We start from the raw sequence: 19,120 nt of genomic DNA, 5'->3' as shown, positions 1-19,120 counted from the left end.
GGTGGGAAGGGTGTTGGTCTCCATGGCGATGCTGGCCGCCTGCCCTTCAGTAGGTAATTGACAGGAAGGGCCCGCTCTGGGCGGTGCGAGATTGGTCGGATGACTTTGGAGACAACCAGAACCCGAAAGTTACCTTGTTTCTCGAAGGAGGCGGTGCATCGATGTGCCTGGGAAACTCTGATTGGACTGTGTCTGTGAAGGACGGAGCAGCCTTGGGTCCTTTCTCCGAGGCACCTAATGGCCTAGTCTGCCTGAGAAACGGACCGGCTCTCCCGGATGTTTTTTCCGTCTTAATGGGAAGGAGAAGGAAAGAGATAATGCAATATAGTTTTTGACATAATCTTTAACCTACAAGGATAGAACAACTGGGAATAGGAGCCTTTAAATTTTCACAAGGAAAGCAGTTGTGTAAACAGGCAGTTCTTAGCAAGACAGGGGCACCCATCCAAGGAGGAAGGGAGGCGCTGGTCGGGTAATGGGAGCAGTGGGTCCGCCGCACCCCTGTCCCCGCCCTCAGCCGCTCCCCTCAGCTGCAACCAGGAGTTAGAAAAAAATTTTCCTTAGTATGTAGGCCGTCCTTAAGGCATTTGGGATTCCTCCATTTCCCTCCCCATTCCTAGCTTGGGGTCTGGGACACCTCCTTCCTACTTTCTCAATTCCTGGTTCACTCCTGGACGGTGTGTAGAAGTAGGACCTCACAGTCCCGAGTAAGATTTTCTGTCTGTCCCTGAAACCCCTAGGCTGTTACCGTTTTTAGGTCAAATTTAACAAGATGGTGACCCTGGGAGGGAGGTGCGGGGGGTGTTTAGCTCTCTTTAACATCACATACTACAGCTGTTTGGCAGGTGGCCCTCTTTAAGCAAACTGTGTGGAGTGATGCTGGAAAGCAGGAGGGGTTGGGACCCAGGTTCTAGTTACTAGCTCCTCTTAACACCTCAGGTTATGTGTCTTAAGTTTGTTGTTTTCGTTTTGAGACAGTCTCGCTCTGTCGCCCAAGCTGGAGTGCAGTGGCGTGATCTCGGCTCACTGCAACCTCCGCCTCCCGGGTTTAAGCAATTCTCCTACCTCAGCCTCCTGAGTAGCTAGGATTACAGGCGTGCGCCACCACGCCTGGCTAATTTTTGTATTTTTAGTAGAGACAGGGTTTCCCCATGTTGGTCAGGCTGGTCTCGAACTCCTGACCTCGTGATCCGCCCATGTTGGTCAGGCTGGTCTCGAACTCCTGACCTCGTGATCCGCCCACCTCGGGCTCCCAAAGTGCTGGGATTACAGGCGTGAGCCACCATTCCCGGCCTGTTGTTTTTGTTTGTTTGTTTTGAGACTGAGTCTCACTCTGTCGCCCAGGCTGGAGTGCAGTGGTGAGATCTCTGCTCATTGCAACCTCTGCCCCTGGGGTTCAAACAATTCTGCTGCCTCAGCCTCCCCAATAGCTGGAATTACAGGATGTGCCACCACGCCGGGCTAATTTTTGTATTTTTAATAGAGACAGGGTTTCGCCATGTTGGCCAGGCTGAATGTGTCTAAGTTTTTATCCTAGATTCCAACTTCCTGCGGATTCTCCTTCCTCCTGTTTTAAATACGGTTGCATTTAGTAATTTACTTTCCCTTTGTTTTTTTCCTTCATTCTTAGTGTGAATGCAAGACCCTTTGTTAGGCGTCTGAAAGGAAAATGTGAGGGGGTTGAAGCAATAGTACTGTGTTTACAACCTACCACAAAAAAAAAAAAGAAAAGAAAAAAAAAATAGCCTCATTGCCATGGCGATATTCCTTGAGCACAAATGAAAGGAAGAAGTTACTGATGAAGGAATAATCCTGTTTTTAAACACTTTGCTCAATTGGCACTTTTCATATGCACACCTGCACACACACACCTGTCCACTATCAAAACACCTCTTCCTGGAATTTAAGGGTATTCATTTGTTTATAATTCACTGATCTAAACTCATGTTGCAAATAAATTGCTTTAACAATATGTGTGTGTCTGTATGTGCAGGTAGGTGATAACTTTCACATTCAGCTTTAGCTCCCTAATGAATCACCTCTCTAAACTAGTCAAACCGGTCAAACTTCAGGAATTTTCCCAAACATTTCTCTATGAAATGTCTGGCTGGAGATTCTCCCAAACTATGTTCATCTTAGCTGCACAGTGTATCAACACTTCCAGAGACCCTTAACCTCACCCCTCCCTCTGGAAACTTCCTCACCATCAACTGCTACTACTGGCAGGTCTGGATTCATTCCTTCCCTCCTTCCAAATCCACAATTTAAAAGGCCAGCACAGTGGCTCACACCTGTAATCCCAGCACTTTGGGAGGCCGAAGCAGCAGATCACCTGAGGTCAGAAATTCGAGACCAGCCTGACCAACATGGAGAAAGCCGGTCTCTACTAAAAATACCAAAAAAAAAAAAAAAAAAAATTACCTGGGCATGGTGGCGCATGCCTGTAATCCCAGCTACTTGGGAGTCTGAGGCAGGAGAATCATTTGAACCCAGGAGGCGGAGGTTGCGGTGAGCCGAGATCGCGCCACTGCACTCCAGCCTGGGCAACAAGAGCGAAACTCCTTCTCAAAAATAAAATACTTCTCTGATTCTGCTGAGAAACATAAAAAGTGGGGAGTGGGGGGTGGGAGAGGGGGAGAAAAAACCTCTCTATTGGCATGAAGCAAAGGGCATCACTGTCTCAACTGCCTAGCAAGTAGATGTGGTGTTGGGACCCCAAATCTTGGGTGCTCTCTGGATAGCAGAAAAATCCAATATAAATGCTGTTTTTCTTCAATCAGTCACACTAGTCAGAGTCTACAGTGCTATAGTTGACCTAGCTTTTAAGTGAAGCCTCTGTGGACTAGACTGGAAACCCACACATACATATTCCTTGTCCATTTCCTGACAAGGAGAGGGTCACCTGAATTTTCTTTTTTTTTTCTTTTTTTTTTTTTTGAGACAGAGTCTTGCTCTGTCGCCCAGGCTGGAGTGCAATGGCACAGTCTTGGCTCACTGCAACCTCCACCTCCCAGGTTCAAGCGATTCTCCTGCCTCAGCCTCCTGAGTGGCTGGGATTACAGGTGCACACCACCACGCCTGGCTAATTTTTGTATTTTTAGTAGAGAGGGGGTTTCGTCATGTTGGCCAGTCTGGTCTCGAACTCCTGACCTCAAGTGATCCGCCCGTCTGGGCCGCCCAAAGTGCTGGAATTACAGGCATGAAGCACCACGCCGGCCTTTTCTTTCCTTTCAGACTGGATGCTTCCCAAGGCAGAAATCCAGTCACAAGTTTAATTGCTGTCTAAGGTGAATATATAAGAACCCCAGGAGATTTTTCAGAACTTTAATGTGATTAATTTCAGAATTAGGTTTTTATTGGATTCTGTGTTTGGAAGGATCAGAGCTCAGAGTCCCCAAAGTGAAAGCCAGGTTAGATGCTTTCAAAGGGACAAGAGAACTGAAGAGGGAGTGCCAAGAACATAATTGCTACAGCAGTGTGGGGTAAGACAGCCTTCTTCAGGCTGACGCTGCAGGGTCTTTTCCTTCCTTCTCCCTCTCCTTTTTATAGTTCCTCAAACAGTAGTTTTCTTAATTTTGTTCATTTTAAAAGATGGTATAGGCCGGGCGCGATGGCTCATGCATGTAATCCCAGCACTTTGGGAGGCCGAGATGGGTGGATCACCTGAGATCAGGAGTTCAAGACCAGCCCGGCAAACATGGCAAAACCCCTTCTCTCCTAAAAACACAAAAATTAGCCGGACGTGGTGGTGCACATCTGTAATCCCAGCTACTCAGGAGCTGAGGCAGGAGAATCACTTGAACCTGGGAGGTGGAGGTTGCAGTGAGCTGAGATCGCACCACTACACTCCAGTCTGGGTGACAGAGCAAGACTCTGTCTCAAAAAAATAATAAATTAAAAAAAAAAGCTGTTATAATTTTAAGTTTATCCAAATGAACTTAAATGAAAGCAAAAGAGTTAATTGATATGAAATCTAGAGGCAGGCATTCTTAACTGAATGAATGACAAATGCTTCAATGACAAAGAGAACCCTGGCCATTTCTAGCAGCATGGAAAGAAAAAATCTGGGAAGGGAAAATCCTGGATTTGCATCTGCGCTCTACTTCTTTGGTGAGGCTGTTTTTCTTTTCAACAAGGAAGTACTTGTACATTGACTAAATAACACAAGTTTCGACGTGTTCATCTCTAAAACATAATTAACAATAACTGAACTGCGTGTGGTGACTCAGGTCGGTAATCCCAGTGCTTTAGGAAGCCAAGGCAGGCACTTGAACTCAGAAGTCCAAGATCAGCCTGGGCAACATAGTGGGACACCATCTCTACTAAAAACTTTACAAGTTAGCTGGGCGTGGTGGCAGGTGCCTGTAGTCCCAGCTACTTGGGAGGCTGAGGCAGGAGGATCGCTTGAGCACAAGAGGTCAAGGCTGCAGTGAGCTATGATCACGCCACTGCATTCCAGCCTGGGAGACAGAGATCCTGTCTCGAATAAAAAAATTTTTTTTCCCTACATGATCAAAGAGAATATGATCTTCTCCCTCCTTTTATTGGGGATCCCATACTCTCGGATATGACTCGTAGTCATTCTTATTTAGGTGTTTAAAAGTTGGGGACCATTATTAGGACTACAGCTGCTTTCAGCTTAATGTAAAAACTGTCCTAAGATCTGCGGGCACAGGCCATTCAGTCAAACCTTTTCATTTTCAAAGACAGCACCAAGGATCAAAGAAGTTCAGTGGCTTGATCTGGTTACCCAGATGACAGGTTACAGAACCGGTGATTGGACCCACGGGTTCTGACACTCATTTTGTACTCCTTCCCACATTGGCTCATCAACCTAACTGGGTTTTGTTTGCTTTTAATTTTGTGGTTAGACCTAATTGTTTTATTCTCTAAAGAGGAAAACAAATGAATACAGTGTTGGCCTCTGCGAGCATTAAGGGCACCACGGGTATGTGATCAGCCAGGGACTCCCGTCCTGGCTGCTGCTCTGCTCTTCGGACTCAAGACCATGGCCCCTACAAGCTCTTGCCTTCCCCACCTTCCAGCTCTCCCAGCCCTGCCTCTCCTTTCCGATAGAACAGATTGCTCAAGCAGAAAGAGGGGAAAGGAGGGGGGAGCCCCGTTACTAGGGCAAGGTTGGCATATAGTTCACAGAATCTTCCGGACGTTAAATATAGAGTCCTGACTAACCTTGATGTTTTAGGGCCGGCTGGCGAGAGGAGGGAGAGACTCGGGTGGCGCAGTTTGTTGGGGAGTGTCCCTAAGAATGACACAGCAGTTCTCGCCTTGAAGGTCAGAAAACTCTAGAAACTTCGGGCAGAGCCAGCGACGGGGGAAAAAGCCTCAGCCAAAGGGGAGGAAAGGTGGGGAGTGCGGGGGGGGGGCGGGGGGAGAAAAGGCGGGGCCGCTGGGGCCTGAGGGCGGGGCTGGCTTCGGGGCTGCCTATCCGACTCCTGCGTTTTCTGATGTTTTTTTTTTTCCAAAAAGGGATTAAAGGAGGAAAGAAAGGACCTTTCGAGTTTCTCTCATACTAGGTGATTTACAAGACGAAAATATTGGAGAATTTTGTAACTTTCATACAACTAAATCAGATGCATTGGGTGGCCAGAGGCGAGAAGAGAAGGTCCCCACCGCCCACGGCCAGCGCGCACCCGTCTGCGCGGGGACGCGCGACTGATGGGAGAGTAGGGGATGGAGTCGGTTGGCTTTTGCCTACAGCCAGCTCAGCGCCCCGTTCTAGTCCCTCGCCCCGTGAGGCATCAGGAGAGTAAGAAAATTAGACCCTCAGGAGTGATTCTCGGTTGCTGGGCTCCTCCGTAGTCCCAGCCTGTGAACCTGCTCCAGCCCTCCTCTGGTGCCCTCCCTTCTAATTTTTTTTTTTTTCACTTTTTTTTGAGGCAGGGTCTCGCTTTGTCGCCCAGACTGGAGTGCAGTGGCGCAATCACGGCTCACTGCAGCCTCAAGCGATCCTCCCGCCCCAGCCTCCCGGGTAGCTGGGACTCCAGGCCCGCGCCACCACGCCCTGCTCCTCTCTCCTCCAATTCTTGATCGGGCTGGACGTGGGCCAGCGGGGTGGGGCGGGTTTAACTCCGTGTCTGGAATGCTCCGCTGCCCTACCCCTCAAACATCCCTTTAAATGGTGGTGCTAGGAAAGGACGAGGGCCCGGTGGGTTTACTCCCTCTGGCTGAACTACACCTGATAGATACCTCAGGGGCGTTTCCCAAGGGGATGGATTTAGATCAGTTAGCAGGAGGAATGGTGGCTGTCACAATTTTTTATATTCACGTAAGGATCGCTCCCTCAGAAATCGCCAATATTGGCTCCCCCAAGAAATAACCTCATTTCCTTTTTTAGCCTAAAGCCGTATTATTTCTGCCCACTTCTCTCACATCTATAAAATACTGTAGTTAATTTTTTGTTTTGGTACCTTTTTTGTCTTTTTGAGGATGACAAGAACTCTTGAAGACCAGGAATAACAGTAAGTGTATATGTTATAAAATAAAATCCTGGGTTCAAAGCCATATAAAATCAAATTTATTATCATAGCCTGCTGCCTTCTGAGGCCTGGTATAGGAAGGTAGGAGGTGATTGGAATTGAGAAGATATTTATATTTGTTTTTCCACACCTGCAGTTATTTTTCCTGTTGCACTTTCCTCCCTCAAAGTTCCTCTGCTCCTCAAAACATCACTCCGTTTATGGGTGGCACTGCATTCTCTTTGCTAATTCCACAGCTCCCTCAACGTCTTTTCTTGAGGTTACAAAGTGAATATTTCAAGGTACAGTACTCTGTGCTAGGGTATGCAGGCAAACAATTTTTTTTTTTTTTTTTTTTTTGGAGACGGAGTCTTGCTCTGTCGCCCAGGCTGCAGTGCAGTGGCACGATCTCGGCTCACTGCAACCTCCACCTCCCGGGTTCAAGTGAGTCTCCTGCCTCAGCCTCCTGAGTAGCTGGGATTACAGGCGCCCACCACCACGCCTAGCTAATTTTTGTATTTTTAGTAGAGGTGGGGTTTCACCATCTTGGCCAGGCTTGTCTTGAACTCCTGACCTAGTGAGCCACCCGCCTCGGCCTCCCAGAGTGCTGGGATTACAGGCATGAGCCACCACGCCCGGCCGACAAGTAATAATTTTTACATATTTCTTGTTAAAACACCTACTAATAAGCTTGATAGGGCCATAGGAACTCTCTTATTGCCTCCATTCAATGTTATGTCTGATGACTTCTCTACTGTGTCAACAAAGGCATTTGGTAGGTCCTTCCCCATCTCCACCCTTTTCCAATTACCTTTTTCCCCACTCCATGCCACAGTAGTGGTAGTTGCTCCTGGTTTAGAGTCACTACAGGGTCTGCAGATCAGAGTCACAAATGCTACTGCAGCTCTGAAGGGGAGAGGAGGTCCTATAGCAAAGGCATATTCCCATGAAGATTGATTTACATTGTGGCCAGAGTCCACAGTACTACAGTTTAACTACCATAAGAGATAAATGTTCCTCTGTAGACTGGCCTGGAAACCTAAGCATTTCATATTTATTTTCTATTTTCAAACTTCCAAAGCAAGGTCTACCTTTATGTATCATTTCCCATAACACTGGATTTTCTTCATTAACAAGTATTTAGTGAATGGTTTGATGGGCTTTGAGGTACACATAAGCTCATAAAGTGCTTTAATGTAATATTGATACAATTGATTTTTTTTTCTTTTTTTTTTTTTTAGAGACAGGGTCTCACTCTGTTGCTCAGGCTGGAGTGCAGTGGTACAGTCATGGCTCACTGCAGCCTTGACCTTTACAATGTTATGCAACCGTCAACTCTGGTTCCAAAACATTTTCATCGCCCTTAGATACTATTTATTTATTTATTCACTGAGACAGAATTTCACTCATTGTTCAGGCTGGAGTGCAATGGCACGATCTTGGCTCACTGCAACATCCACCTCCTGGGTTCAACCGATTCTTCTGCCTCAGCCTCCCAAGTTGCTGGGATTATAGGTGCCCGCCACCACGCCCAGCTAATTTTTTGTATTTTTAGTAGAGATGGGGTTTCACCCTGTTGGCCAGGCTGGTCTTGAACTCCTGACCTCAGGTGATCCACCCACCTCGGCCTCCCAAAGTGCTGGGATTACAGGCATGAGCCACTGCGCCTGGCCGACACAATTTTTATTTTTTGAGATGGAGTCTCGCTCTGTCACCTAGGCTGGAGTGCAGTGGCGCAATCTCGGCTCACTGAAACCTCTGCCTTTGAGTTCAAACGATTCGCCTGCCTCAGCCTCCCGAATAGCTGGGATTACAGGCGCACACCATCGCGCCTGGCTGATTTTTGTACTTTTAGTGCAGGAGGTGGGTGGTGGGGGGGGTCCTCACCATGTTGGCCAGGCTGGTCTCGAACTCCTGACCTCAGGTGATCCGCCTGCCTCAGCCTCCCAAAGTGCTGGGATTACAGGCATGAGCCAGCACGCCCGGCCAGATACAATTCATTTTTAAAAGGGCTCACTCCGGGAGCTTTAAGGATTGTAGTGGGCGTTTTCCAAGGAGGAGGGAATTACTTCTAGGATGCTAGCGGCTGGGGCATGAAGCATCTCCAAGGGAAAGTGCATGGGAGTGAAGTCTGTAGGTCTTCCTGGCCCGGGTGCTCACTGGCGTACTTAAATTGTAGGTGATAACTGCTAAGAATGTGACATTTCTATTTCAGTATGCTTTCAGTCATGAGAGAGGCATCGAGCCAAACCCTTCCATTTTAAAAGATGACAACTAAAGCACATGTGTATAACTCAGCAAGCCAGTGAATGTACCCGTTTTTTCACTTTGAAATTTAGGACACTCCTTCCATTCCATGTTGAATCTAGATTAAGTATCAAGTCCATGAGCATATCAGGTGTACCTACAGGAGGTAGGAGCGCTGGCCTCCCATCTAACTGCATTCTTTTTGACCACTTTTGCAGAAACATCCCCGCCCCCCTCCCACCTCTTTTGAGACCAATCTTACACAAACATCACTTTAAGGCTACCCTCCCAGGTGTTAAACTTTTTCTGTACCCTCAGGCTAAACCCAATCAGCATCAACAAACTTTACTTTTTTGTGTGTGTGTGTGAGACGGAGTCTTGCTGTGATGCCCAGGCTAGAGTGCAATGGCGTGATCTCGGCTCACTGCTACCACTGCTTCCTGGGTTCACACGATTCTCCTGCCTCAGCCTCCCTGGGACTACAGGCACGCACCACCACGCCCAGCTAATTTTTGTGTTTTTAGTAGAGACAGGGTTTCACCACATTGGCCAGGTTGGTCTGGAACTCCTGACCTCAAGTGATCCGCCCACCTCAGCCTCCCAAAGTGCTGGGATTACAGGCTTGAGCCACCACTCCTGGCCAGAATCAAGAAGCTTTACTGGAGGATACCATTTGTCTAACACAAATGGATCACATTACAATAGTCACACCTCTGCAAAATCTGCCCTTACTGGAAGCAAAAATGCCATTCCATTTTAGACGCTATGGGAAAAACAACCTATGCAGACCCTACTGACCCCCAAATAAAGGAATAAAAGGCATCACTTGAATTTTAAAGTTTATTTACTTTGAAGTAACCAACTTAAAAAATGGCCTGAGTTAAGTGTATTAAAAAGAAGAAATAGTCGTAAGATGGCAGTATAAATTCATCTCTGCATGTAGAAACCGGAAAAAAAGCAAGTTCAGTACTTCACCAAAAAATTTCAACATTGCAAACACAGGAAATTGAGAACTGACAAACAGAAATACTAGGAAATGCAAAGTCTTGAAGCTCCAAAACAAAAACAGCAATCTTGGAAAGGCCCCTAATCTACCTCCTCAATGGTGGGGCCTGACCCAGACCCTCCCTTGGGACCCTGAGCCCCGAAGCCCCCAGGCCCGGGACCACCGGCACCCTGGTACAGTCCGCTGATGATGGGGTTACACACCTGCTCCAGCTCCTTCCTCTTGTGCTCAAACTCGTCCTTCTCGGCCAAGGTGTTGGCGTCCAGCCACGAGATGACCTCTTGACACTTGTCCAGCACCTTCTTCTTGTCCGCCTCGCTGATCTTGCCCTTGAGCCCCTCATCCTCCACGGCGCTCTTCATGTTGAAGGCGTAGGACTCCAGGGCGTTCTTGGCTGACACCCTCTCGCGCTGCACCTCGTCCTCCGCTTTGTACTTCTCCGCCTCCTGCACCATGCGCTCGATCTCCTCCTTGCTCAGGCGGCCCTTGTCGTTGGTGATGGTGATCTTGTTGGCCTTGCCGGTGCTCTTGTCCGTGGCCGTGACGTTCAGGATGCCGTTGGCATCGATGTCGAAGGTCACCTCGATCTGGGGCACGCCCCTGGGGGCCGGAGGGATGCCGCTCAGCTCGAAGCGCCCCAACAGATTGTTGTCTTTCGTCATGGCCCTCTCGCCCTCGTACACCTGGATCAGCACCCCGGGTTGGTTGTCGGAGTAGGTGGTGAAGATCTGCGTCTGCTTGGTGGGGATGGTGGAGTTGCGCTTGATCAGGGCAGTCATCACGCCTCCGGCCGTCTCCAGCCCCAGCGACAGGGGAGCCACGTCCAGCAGCAGCAGGTCCTGCACGTTCTCGGACTTGTCCCCCATCAGGATGGCCGCCTGCACCGCCGCCCCGTAGGCCACAGCCTCGTCGGGGTTGATGCTCTTGTTCAGGTCGCGCCCGTTGAAGAAGTCCTGCAGCAGCTTCTGCACCTTGGGGATGCGGGTGGAGCCCCCGACCAGGACCAGGTCGTGAATCTGGGCCTTGTCCAGCTTGGCGTCGCGCAGAGCCTTCTCCACGGGCTCCAGGGTGCTTCGGAACAGGTCGGAGCACAGCTCCTCGAACCTCGCCCTGGTGATGGACGTGTAGAAGTCGATGCCCTCAAACAGGGAGTCGATCTCCAGGCTGGCCTGGGTGCTGGACGACAGGGTCCTCTTGGCCCTCTCGCAGGCGGTGCGCAGCCGCCTCACGGCTCGCTTGTTCTGGCTGATGTCCTTCTTGTGTTTTCTCTTGAACTCCTCCACGAAGTGGTTCACCAGCCTGTTGTCAAAGTCCTCCCCACCCAGGTGGGTGTCCCCGGCCGTGGCCTTCACCTCGAAGATGCCGTCGTCGATCGTCAGGATGGACACGTCGAAGGTGCCCCCGCCCAGGTCAAAGATGAGCACGTTGCGCTCCCCCTTGCCCGTTCTGTCCAGGCCGTAGGCGATGGCGGCGGCCGTGGGCTCGTTGATGATCCGCAGCACGTTGAGCCCCGCGATCACACCCGCATCCTTGGTGGCCTGGCGCTGCGAGTCGTTGAAGTAGGCCGGCACGGTGATCACCGCGTTGGTCACCGGGTAGCCCAGGTACGCCTCGGCGATCTCCTTCATCTTGGTCAGCACCATGGACGAGATCTCCTCGGGGTAGAATGCCTTGGTCTCCCCCTTGTAGCTCACCTGCACCTTGGGCTTGTCTCCGTCGTTGATCACCTGGAAAGGCCAGTGCTTCATGTCCGACTGCACCACCGGGTCGCCGAACTTGCGGCCAATCAGCCGCTTCGCGTCAAACACGGTGTTCTGCGGGTTCAGCGCCACCTGGTTCTTGGCCGCATCCCCGATGAGCCGCTCGGTGTCCGTGAAGGCCACGTAGCTGGGGGTGGTGCGGTTGCCCTGGTCGTTGGCGATGATCTCCACCTTGCCGTGTTGGAACACCCCCACGCAGGAGTAGGTGGTGCCCAGGTCGATGCCGATCGCCGCGGCTTTGGCCATGCCGGTTCCCTGCTCTCTGTCGGCTCCGCTCTGAGATTGGGGGCTGGAAACGGAACACTGGATCCGCGAGAAGAGCTCGGTCCTTCCGGACGCCGGAAACTCGACGCGCCGGTGCCTGCAGCCGCACAGGTTCGCTCTGGGAAGCCTTGGGACAACGGGAGTCACTCTCGAAAAAGGTAGTGGACTGTCGCAGCAGCTCCTCAGGCTAGCCGTTATCCGGACCGCTTGCCCCTGGGCTTTTATAAGTCGTCACGGAGACCCGCCTTTTCCCTTCTGAGCCAATCACCGAGCTCGATGAGGCTGCCAGGTCGGGAATATTCCAGGGTTTTCGCCTCCCGTCCTGCCCCCCAGCCTTCCTTGGACCAATCAGAGGCCAGAGTGCCGCCCCCTGCTCAGAACTCTCCAGAGTCTTCTGGGATTCACTGGAGGGGACAGGGACCCTGAGAGGAAGGGGGAGTGGCGGTGGGAAGGGTGTTGGTCTCCATGGCGATGCTGACCGCCTGCGCTTCAGCGCCTAATTGACAGGAAGGGTCGGCGCTGGGCTTTTAATTGTGGGGGCTTGCTGGGCCTGCGCAGTTGTGGGCAGGGGGCTGGTGCGGGGAGCGGGTTACGCGCGTCCAGGGGAGGGTGGGGGCGTTTGTGTTGACACCGCCCGGCCACGTTACAATGGAGATACTGTCTCTGACCTCATGGGCCAGTTTGGAAAAAGATTACTGAGTTGGAGCCGTCTCAAATTTGCAGGGAGGGACGGGGTGGGGGGTGGGGGGACCCCGGTTGTGCAGTTTGATATTGAGGGAGCCCCCACCTACTCGCTGGGGCTGCGTAATCTGGACGTTTCCAAACTGAAGCGAAGGCGTCGGGAGACTAGGTGAGCCAGTAGGGATCTGATTGATTGTGAACCTGAAAGGCTCAGTAGGTCCTTGTTTGGGAAAGTACTGGAAAGTTCCCTAGTTGGTTTAAGCCTGAGGTATGTGGGCGTTGGCTGATCCGGGTAGGAGGAGCACTTGGGGAAAGCTAAGATGGCTTCAGATTGATTGGTCGGAGCAGCCAGAATGGGGGAGGCGGGGGAAGGGAGTGCGGCCTGTCGGGGAAATGGGGAGGCGGGGAAGGCGGGGTAAGGGGGAGGCGGGGTAACTGGGAAGCGGGGGAAAGGGAGTGCGGCCTAGGAATCTGCGGTGTGGAGAGGGATAGACACTAAACCCTTTATTTTATTTTTATTTATTTATTTTTAATTTTTTTTTTTTTTTTGAGACGGAGTCTCGCTCTGTCGCCCAGGGTGGAGTGCAGTGGCACGATCTTGGCTCACTGCAAGCTCTGCCTCCCGAGTTCAGGCCATTCTCCTGCCTCAGCCTTCCGAGTAGCAGGGACTGCAGGCGCCCGCCACCGCGCCCGGCTAATTGCTCCACCTCCCGGGTTCAAGCTATTCTCCTGCCTCAGCCATCCGAGTAGCTGGAACTACTGGCGCCCGCCACCACGCCCAGCTAATTTTTTCTATTTTTTAGTAGAGACGAGGTTTCACCGTGTTAGCCAGGATGGTAGCCAGGATGGTCTCGTTCTCCTGACCCCGTGATCCGCCCGCCTCGGCCTCTCAAAGTGCTGGGATTACAGGCGTGAGCCACCGCCCCCCGCCCTTAAACCCTTTATTGATCAGTTATTGGCTCCAGAAAACAGGAGTTTTATTTAGGAGAAGGATACAGATACTGTCTGGAGTGCCATGTCGTTTGAGAAAACTGGAAGGCTTGTGGTTTTCTAGCAGTCATCTTCAGCCTGACTGGAATTTACTGCCGGTGAACCCCTAATAGAGAATATTATCCCAGGAAGGCAGCAGAACTCAAGTGTGGAGGCTGATGTCTCTTGAAGAGACCAGAATGTACACTACTCTTGGGTCATAAAGAGACAGAATCCCACAGTAAAATATATAGGAACAGGACAGTAGAATTAGGTCACTTGGGAAATTGAAAACAATATACAGCTACTTGCTTCCCAACTTCTTTGAGTAGCTGAGAATACTTTTGTCTACCCTGTCCAAAAAGCAGTCTGCCATGACAGTAGCGTCTCCATGTATTTGTATAGGCTTGCTCATAGCAACATTATTCTGTAAATTCTGTAATCTGTATCCATCGAGAGATAGATAAGCAAAATGTATATAGGCCGGGTGCGGTGGTGGCTCATGCCTGCCATCCCAGAACTTAGGGAGACCGAGGCGGGCGGATCACTTAAGGTTAGGAGTTTGAGACCATCCTGGTCAACATGGTGAAACTCTGTTTTTACTAAAAATACAAAAATTATCTGGGCGTGGCAGTGCACGCCTGTAGTCCCAGCTCCTCGGGAGGCTGAGGCTGGAGAATTAGCTTGAACCCAGGAGGTGGAGGTTGCAGTGAGCCAAGATCATGCCACTGCACTCCAGCCTGGGTAACAGAGTGAGACTCTGTCTCAAAACAAAATCAAAAACAGTGGTATATAAATATGAATATTACTCAGCCTTAGGAAGGAAATTGTGACATGTTACAACATGGATGAAACCTGTGCACATAAGCTAAGTGACATAAGCAAAGTCACAAAAGGATAAATACTGTATAATTCCACTTATATGAAGTTACAAGAGTAGTCAAATTCATAGAGATAGAAAAAAGAGGTCGGGCGCCTTGGCTCAAGCCTATAATCCTAACACTTGGTGACTTGGAGGTGGGAGGAGGTTTCCTTGAGCTCAGGAGTGAGAAACTAGCTTGGGCAACAGGGAGACCTGGTCTCTACAAAAAAATAAAAAATTAGCTGGGTGTGGTGGCATTCACCTGTGGTCCAAGCTACTTGGGAGGCTGAGACAAAAGGATCCTATGAGCCTGGGAGGTCAAGACTGCAGTGAGCCATGATTACACCACTGCAGTGCAGCCTGCGTGACAAAACGAGACCCTGTCTCTAAAAAATGAGAAAAAAAAATGGTTGTTACCAGGCGATAAAGGGAGGGGAAAACGGGAGTTACTTAATGAGTATACAGTTTCAGTTTTGCGAGATGAACAGAATTCTGGAAATTGGTTGAACACCGCTGTGATTGAACTCACTACCAAACTCTACACTTAAAAATGGTTAAGATGGTACAATTTGTATGTATTTTACCACAATAAAAAATAAAAAATAGGCTGGGCGAGATGTTCACTCCTGTAATCCCAGTACTTGGGGAGGCTGGGGCTGAAGGATCGTTTGAGCCCTGAAGGAGTTTGAGACCAGCCTGAGCAACATAAGGAGACCCCATCTGTACACAAAATTAAAACATTAGCCAGGCAGAGAGCTGGTCACGGTGGCTCACGTATGTAATCCCAGCACTTTGGGAGGCCGAGGCGGGCGGATCACCTGAGGTCAGGAGTTTGAGACCAGCCTGGCCAACATAGTGAAACCGTGAAACCCCATCTCTACTAAAAATACAAAAATTAGCTGGGCGTGGTGGTGCCCTCATAATCCCAGCCACTCGGGAGGCTGAGACAGGAGAATCGCTTGAACTCAGGAGGTGGAGGTTGCAGTGAGCCTAGATCACACCACTGCAGTCCAAAGCAAGACTCCGTCTCAAAAAAAAAAAAAATTAGCCGGGCATGTTGTCTCCAGTTATTCTGGAGGCTAAGGCAGGAAGATTGCTGGAGCCTAGGAGATCAAAGCTGCAGTGAGCTATGACTGCGCCTCTGCACTCCAACCTGGGTGACAGAGGAAGACCCTGTCTCAAAAAAATAAATAACATTGAAAAGCACTCTCCCAAAACAGTATCTTATTCTTTCTCCATAGGCCTCAGAGAACCATGGCTACTGCCAAGGGAATCGCCATAGGCATCGACCTGGGCACCACCTACTCCTGTGTGGGGGTGTTCCAGCACGGCAAGGTGGAGATCATCGCCAACGACCAGGGCAACCGCACCACCCCCAGCTACGTGGCCTTCACAGACACCGAGCGGCTCATTGGGGATGCGGCCAAGAACCAGGTAGCAATGAATCCCCAGAACACTGTTTTTGATGCTAAACGTCTGATCGGCAGGAAATTTAATGATCCTGTTGTACAAGCAGATATGAAACTTTGGCCTTTTCAAGTGATTAATGAAGGAGGCAAGCCCAAAGTCCTTGTGTCCTACAAAGGGGAGAATAAAGCTTTCTACCCTGAGGAAATCTCTTCGATGGTATTGACTAAGTTGAAGGAGACTGCTGAGGCCTTTTTGGGCCACCCTGTCACCAATGCAGTGATTACCGTGCCAGCCTATTTCAATGACTCTCAACGTCAGGCTACTAAGGATGCAGGTGTGATTGCTGGACTTAATGTGCTAAGAATCATCAATGAGCCCACGGCTGCTGCCATTGCCTATGGTTTAGATAAAGGAGGTCAAGGAGAACGACATGTCCTGATTTTTGATCTGGGTGGAGGCACATTTGATGTGTCAATTCTGACCATAGATGATGGGATTTTTGAGGTAAAGGCCACTGCTGGGGACACTCACCTGGGTGGGGAGGACTTTGACAACAGGCTTGTGAGCCACTTCGTGGAGGAGTTCAAGAGGAAACACAAAAAGGACATCAGCCAGAACAAGCGAGCCGTGAGGCGGCTGCGCACCGCCTGCGAGAGGGCCAAGAGGACCCTGTCGTCCAGCACCCAGGCCAACCTAGAAATTGATTCACTTTATGAAGGCATTGACTTCTATACATCCATCACCAGAGCTCGATTTGAAGAGTTGTGTGCAGACCTGTTTAGGGGTACCCTGGAGCCTGTAGAAAAAGCGCTTCGGGATGCCAAGATGGATAAGGCTAAAATCCATGACATTGTTTTAGTAGGGGGCTCCACCCGCATCCCCAAGGTGCAGCGGCTGCTTCAGGACTACTTCAATGGACGTGATCTCAACAAGAGCATCAACCCTGATGAGGCCGTAGCATATGGGGCTGCGGTACAAGCAGCCATCCTGATGGGGGACAAGTCTGAGAAGGTACAGGACCTGCTGCTGCTGGACGTGGCTCCCCTGTCCCTGGGGCTGGAGACGGCTGGGGGCGTGATGACTGCCCTGATAAAGCGCAACTCCACCATCCCCACCAAGCAGACACAGATTTTCACCACCTACTCTGACAACCAACCCGGGGTGCTGATCCAGGTGTATGAGGGCGAGAGGGCCATGACAAAGGACAACAACCTGCTGGGGCGGTTTGACCTGACTGGAATCCCTCCAGCACCCAGGGGAGTTCCTCAGATCGAGGTGACGTTTGACATTGATGCCAATGGTATTCTCAATGTCACAGCCACGGACAAGAGCACCGGCAAGGTGAACAAGATCACCATCACCAATGACAAGGGCCGCCTGAGCAAGGAGGAGATTGAGCGCATGGTTCTGGATGCTGAGAAATATAAAGCTGAAGATGAGGTCCAGAGGGAGAAAATTGCTGCAAAGAATGCCTTAGAATCCTATGCTTTTAACATGAAGAGTGTTGTGAGTGATGAAGGTTTGAAGGGCAAGATTAGTGAGTCTGATAAAAATAAAATATTGGATAAATGCAACGAGCTCCTTTCGTGGCTGGAGGTCAATCAACTGGCAGAGAAAGATGAGTTTGATCATAAGAGAAAGGAATTGGAGCAGATGTGTAACCCTATCATCACAAAACTCTACCAAGGAGGATGCACTGGGCCTGCCTGCGGAACAGGGTATGTGCCTGGAAGGCCTGCCACAGGCCCCACAATTGAAGAAGTAGATTAATTCTTTTTAGAACTGAAGCATCCTAGGATGCCTCTACATGTATTTCATTCCCCTCATCTTCAAACATCATTATTATTCTTGACCAGACCTGAATCTAAGTTACCATCCCTTGGAAATTCTGGAGAAGGAGTCTCATGCACCACCTATCACACTCCCTCACATCCTGTTTCTGACTTTGGAATGGACTCAGGAAAACTAGGCCCCTCTTTAAACCGTGTGATGTATTTGAATGTCTGTTATTTCCAGCCACCCTAACATTCTTCTTCCTGTGTGGATGCTTATTTGTCAATCAGTAAATTTGTTCGTAAAGAAAATTACTTCTGGTATTTAGGCTGTGAATGTACCTTGAAGGGGAGAGTTCATGGAGAGAGCATGTGTTCTCTGATTGTGAGGTCACTGTGAATGATTAAATTGGTAAGGGTAAAGTATTTGAATTTTCATGAACTCATTTTGTGTGTGTGTGTGTGTGTGTGTGTGTGTGTGTGTGTGTTTTGAGAGACAGTCTCGCCCTGTCACCCAGGCTGGAGTGCAGTGGCACAATCTCAGCTTACTGCAAGCTCTGCCTCCTGGGTTCACGCCATTCTCCTGCCTCAGCCTCCCGAGTAGCTGGGACTGCAGGTGCCCCCCACCATGCCCGGCTAATTTTTTGTATTGTTTTAGTAGAGACGGGGTTTCACTGTGTTAGCCAGGATGGTCTCGATCTCCTGACCTCGTGATCCGCCCGCCTCGGCCTCCCAAAGTGCTGGGATTACAGGCGTGAGCCACCGTGCCCGGCCCATGAACTCATTGTTTCAATCAGCCACATAATTTTTGATCCTCAGACACCTTTAGCACAGATGGAACAGATGGCAAACTATAACTGCTTTTAATCAGTTACAAGCTGGTTTTGGAGTTTAGGACTCAACTGGGGGTGGAGGGACAAATCCTGCTTGATGTCCTGATGTCACTTATAGGTAAGGTCCAGGAGATTCAGCATCTATGCACTCACAGAGTTCATTGTTTACATCCATTACATGGAGAAAATATTTCTTTTCTTTTTTTTTTTTTTTGGAAACAGTTTCGCTCTTGTCGCCCAAGCTGGAGTGCAATGGCACGATCTCGGCTCACTGCAAACTTTGCCTCCCAGATTCAAGCGATTCTCCTGCCTCAGCCTCATGAGTAGCTGGGATTACAGGCGCTCACCACCATGCCCGGCTAATGTTTGTGTTTTTAGTAGAGACGGGATTTCACCATGTTGACCAGGCTGTTCTGAACTCCTGACCTCAGGTGATCCACCCACCTCAGCCTCCCAAAGTGCTGGAATTATAGGCGTGAGCCACCGTGCCCAGCCCCAGAAAATATTTCTATAACAAACTCTTGACAAATAAGTATGTCTATGCAAGATGACAAATACAAGTTTTATGAAGTCTCAGTCCATGAAAAAATATTTTTACCAGCTGGGCACAGTGGCTCACGCCTGTAATCCCAGCACTTTGGGAGGCCGAGGCGGGCGGATCATGAGGTCAAGAGATTGAGACCATCCTGCCCAACATGGTGAAACCCCGTCTCTACTAAAAATACAAAAATTAGCTGAGGACGGTGATGCGTGCCTGTAGTCCCAGCTACTCAGGAGGGTGAGGCAGAGGAATCGCTTGAACCCGGGACGTGGAGGTTGCAGTGAGCTGAGATCGTGGCA

The 19,120-nt window shown here is 49.9% G+C and overlaps 2 protein-coding genes across 2 annotated transcripts, besides 10 other annotated features; one reads left to right on the top strand and one right to left on the bottom strand.

Annotated features, from left to right (window-relative positions):
• Window positions 15-826: an enhancer, noted in NCBI's record as "H3K27ac hESC enhancer chr6:31794443-31795254 (GRCh37/hg19 assembly coordinates)". NCBI's record gives its function as "activates a minimal SCP1, AML or CMV promoter by ChIP-STARR-seq in naive H9 embryonic stem cells {active_cell/tissue: H9 hESC(naive)}" and the evidence as "EXISTENCE:reporter gene assay evidence [ECO:0000049][PMID:30033119]".
• Window positions 4,522-5,721: an enhancer, noted in NCBI's record as "MED14-independent group 3 enhancer chr6:31789548-31790747 (GRCh37/hg19 assembly coordinates)". NCBI's record gives its function as "activates an origin of replication core promoter dependent on BRD2, BRD4, P300/CBP and CDK7 cofactors, and independent of MED14, by STARR-seq in HCT116 cells {active_cell/tissue: HCT116}" and the evidence as "EXISTENCE:reporter gene assay evidence [ECO:0000049][PMID:35650434]".
• Window positions 9,550-11,949, bottom strand: HSPA1A (heat shock protein family A (Hsp70) member 1A). Its single transcript, NM_005345.6, has one exon. The coding sequence runs from the start codon at window positions 11,733-11,735 to the stop codon at window positions 9,810-9,812; it is 1,926 nt and encodes a 641-aa protein (NP_005336.3). The 5' UTR covers window positions 11,736-11,949; the 3' UTR covers window positions 9,550-9,809.
• Window positions 10,171-10,740: an enhancer, noted in NCBI's record as "H3K27ac-H3K4me1 hESC enhancer chr6:31784529-31785098 (GRCh37/hg19 assembly coordinates)". NCBI's record gives its function as "activates a minimal SCP1, AML or CMV promoter by ChIP-STARR-seq in primed H9 embryonic stem cells {active_cell/tissue: H9 hESC(primed)}" and the evidence as "EXISTENCE:reporter gene assay evidence [ECO:0000049][PMID:30033119]".
• Window positions 10,741-11,310: an enhancer, noted in NCBI's record as "H3K27ac-H3K4me1 hESC enhancer chr6:31783959-31784528 (GRCh37/hg19 assembly coordinates)". NCBI's record gives its function as "activates a minimal SCP1, AML or CMV promoter by ChIP-STARR-seq in primed H9 embryonic stem cells {active_cell/tissue: H9 hESC(primed)}" and the evidence as "EXISTENCE:reporter gene assay evidence [ECO:0000049][PMID:30033119]".
• Window positions 11,585-12,113: an origin of replication, noted in NCBI's record as "C amplicon; peak of nascent strand synthesis detected by PCR of labelled, size-fractionated DNA". NCBI's record gives the evidence for it as "EXISTENCE:fractionation evidence [ECO:0000100][PMID:8065368]".
• Window positions 11,585-12,242: a biological region, named in NCBI's record as "origin of replication in promoter of HSPA1A".
• Window positions 12,017-12,846: an enhancer, noted in NCBI's record as "H3K27ac hESC enhancer chr6:31782423-31783252 (GRCh37/hg19 assembly coordinates)". NCBI's record gives its function as "activates a minimal SCP1, AML or CMV promoter by ChIP-STARR-seq in naive H9 embryonic stem cells {active_cell/tissue: H9 hESC(naive)}" and the evidence as "EXISTENCE:reporter gene assay evidence [ECO:0000049][PMID:30033119]".
• Window positions 12,023-12,242: an origin of replication, noted in NCBI's record as "HS-AB fragment; allows replication of a plasmid". NCBI's record gives the evidence for it as "EXISTENCE:genetic transformation evidence [ECO:0005027][PMID:8065368]".
• Window positions 12,102-12,108: a protein binding site, noted in NCBI's record as "HSP-MYC B". NCBI's record gives its function as "may be important in replication origin activity" and the evidence as "EXISTENCE:protein binding evidence [ECO:0000024][PMID:1562593]".
• Window positions 12,177-12,183: a protein binding site, noted in NCBI's record as "HSP-MYC A". NCBI's record gives its function as "may be important in replication origin activity" and the evidence as "EXISTENCE:protein binding evidence [ECO:0000024][PMID:1562593]".
• Window positions 12,209-17,873, top strand: HSPA1L (heat shock protein family A (Hsp70) member 1 like). The gene is made up of 2 exons (NM_005527.4): window positions 12,209-12,603; window positions 15,507-17,873. The coding sequence occupies exon 2, from the start codon at window positions 15,520-15,522 to the stop codon at window positions 17,443-17,445; it is 1,926 nt and encodes a 641-aa protein (NP_005518.3). The 5' UTR covers window positions 12,209-12,603; window positions 15,507-15,519; the 3' UTR covers window positions 17,446-17,873.

The sequence above is a fragment of the Homo sapiens genome, chromosome 6 (genome assembly GCF_000001405.40).
Source record: "Homo sapiens chromosome 6, GRCh38.p14 Primary Assembly".
Lineage (NCBI taxonomy): Eukaryota > Metazoa > Chordata > Mammalia > Primates > Hominidae > Homo > Homo sapiens.
The sequence above is the reverse complement of the archived record's forward strand: the minus strand, read 5'-3'. Positions and strand labels throughout refer to the sequence as shown.

Coding starts and splice junctions, on each gene's coding strand:
- HSPA1A (NM_005345.6), bottom strand. CDS start 11,735: ATGGCCAAAGCCGCGGCGATCGGCATCGACCTGGGCACCACCTACTCC.
- HSPA1L (NM_005527.4), top strand. CDS start 15,520: ATGGCTACTGCCAAGGGAATCGCCATAGGCATCGACCTGGGCACCACC.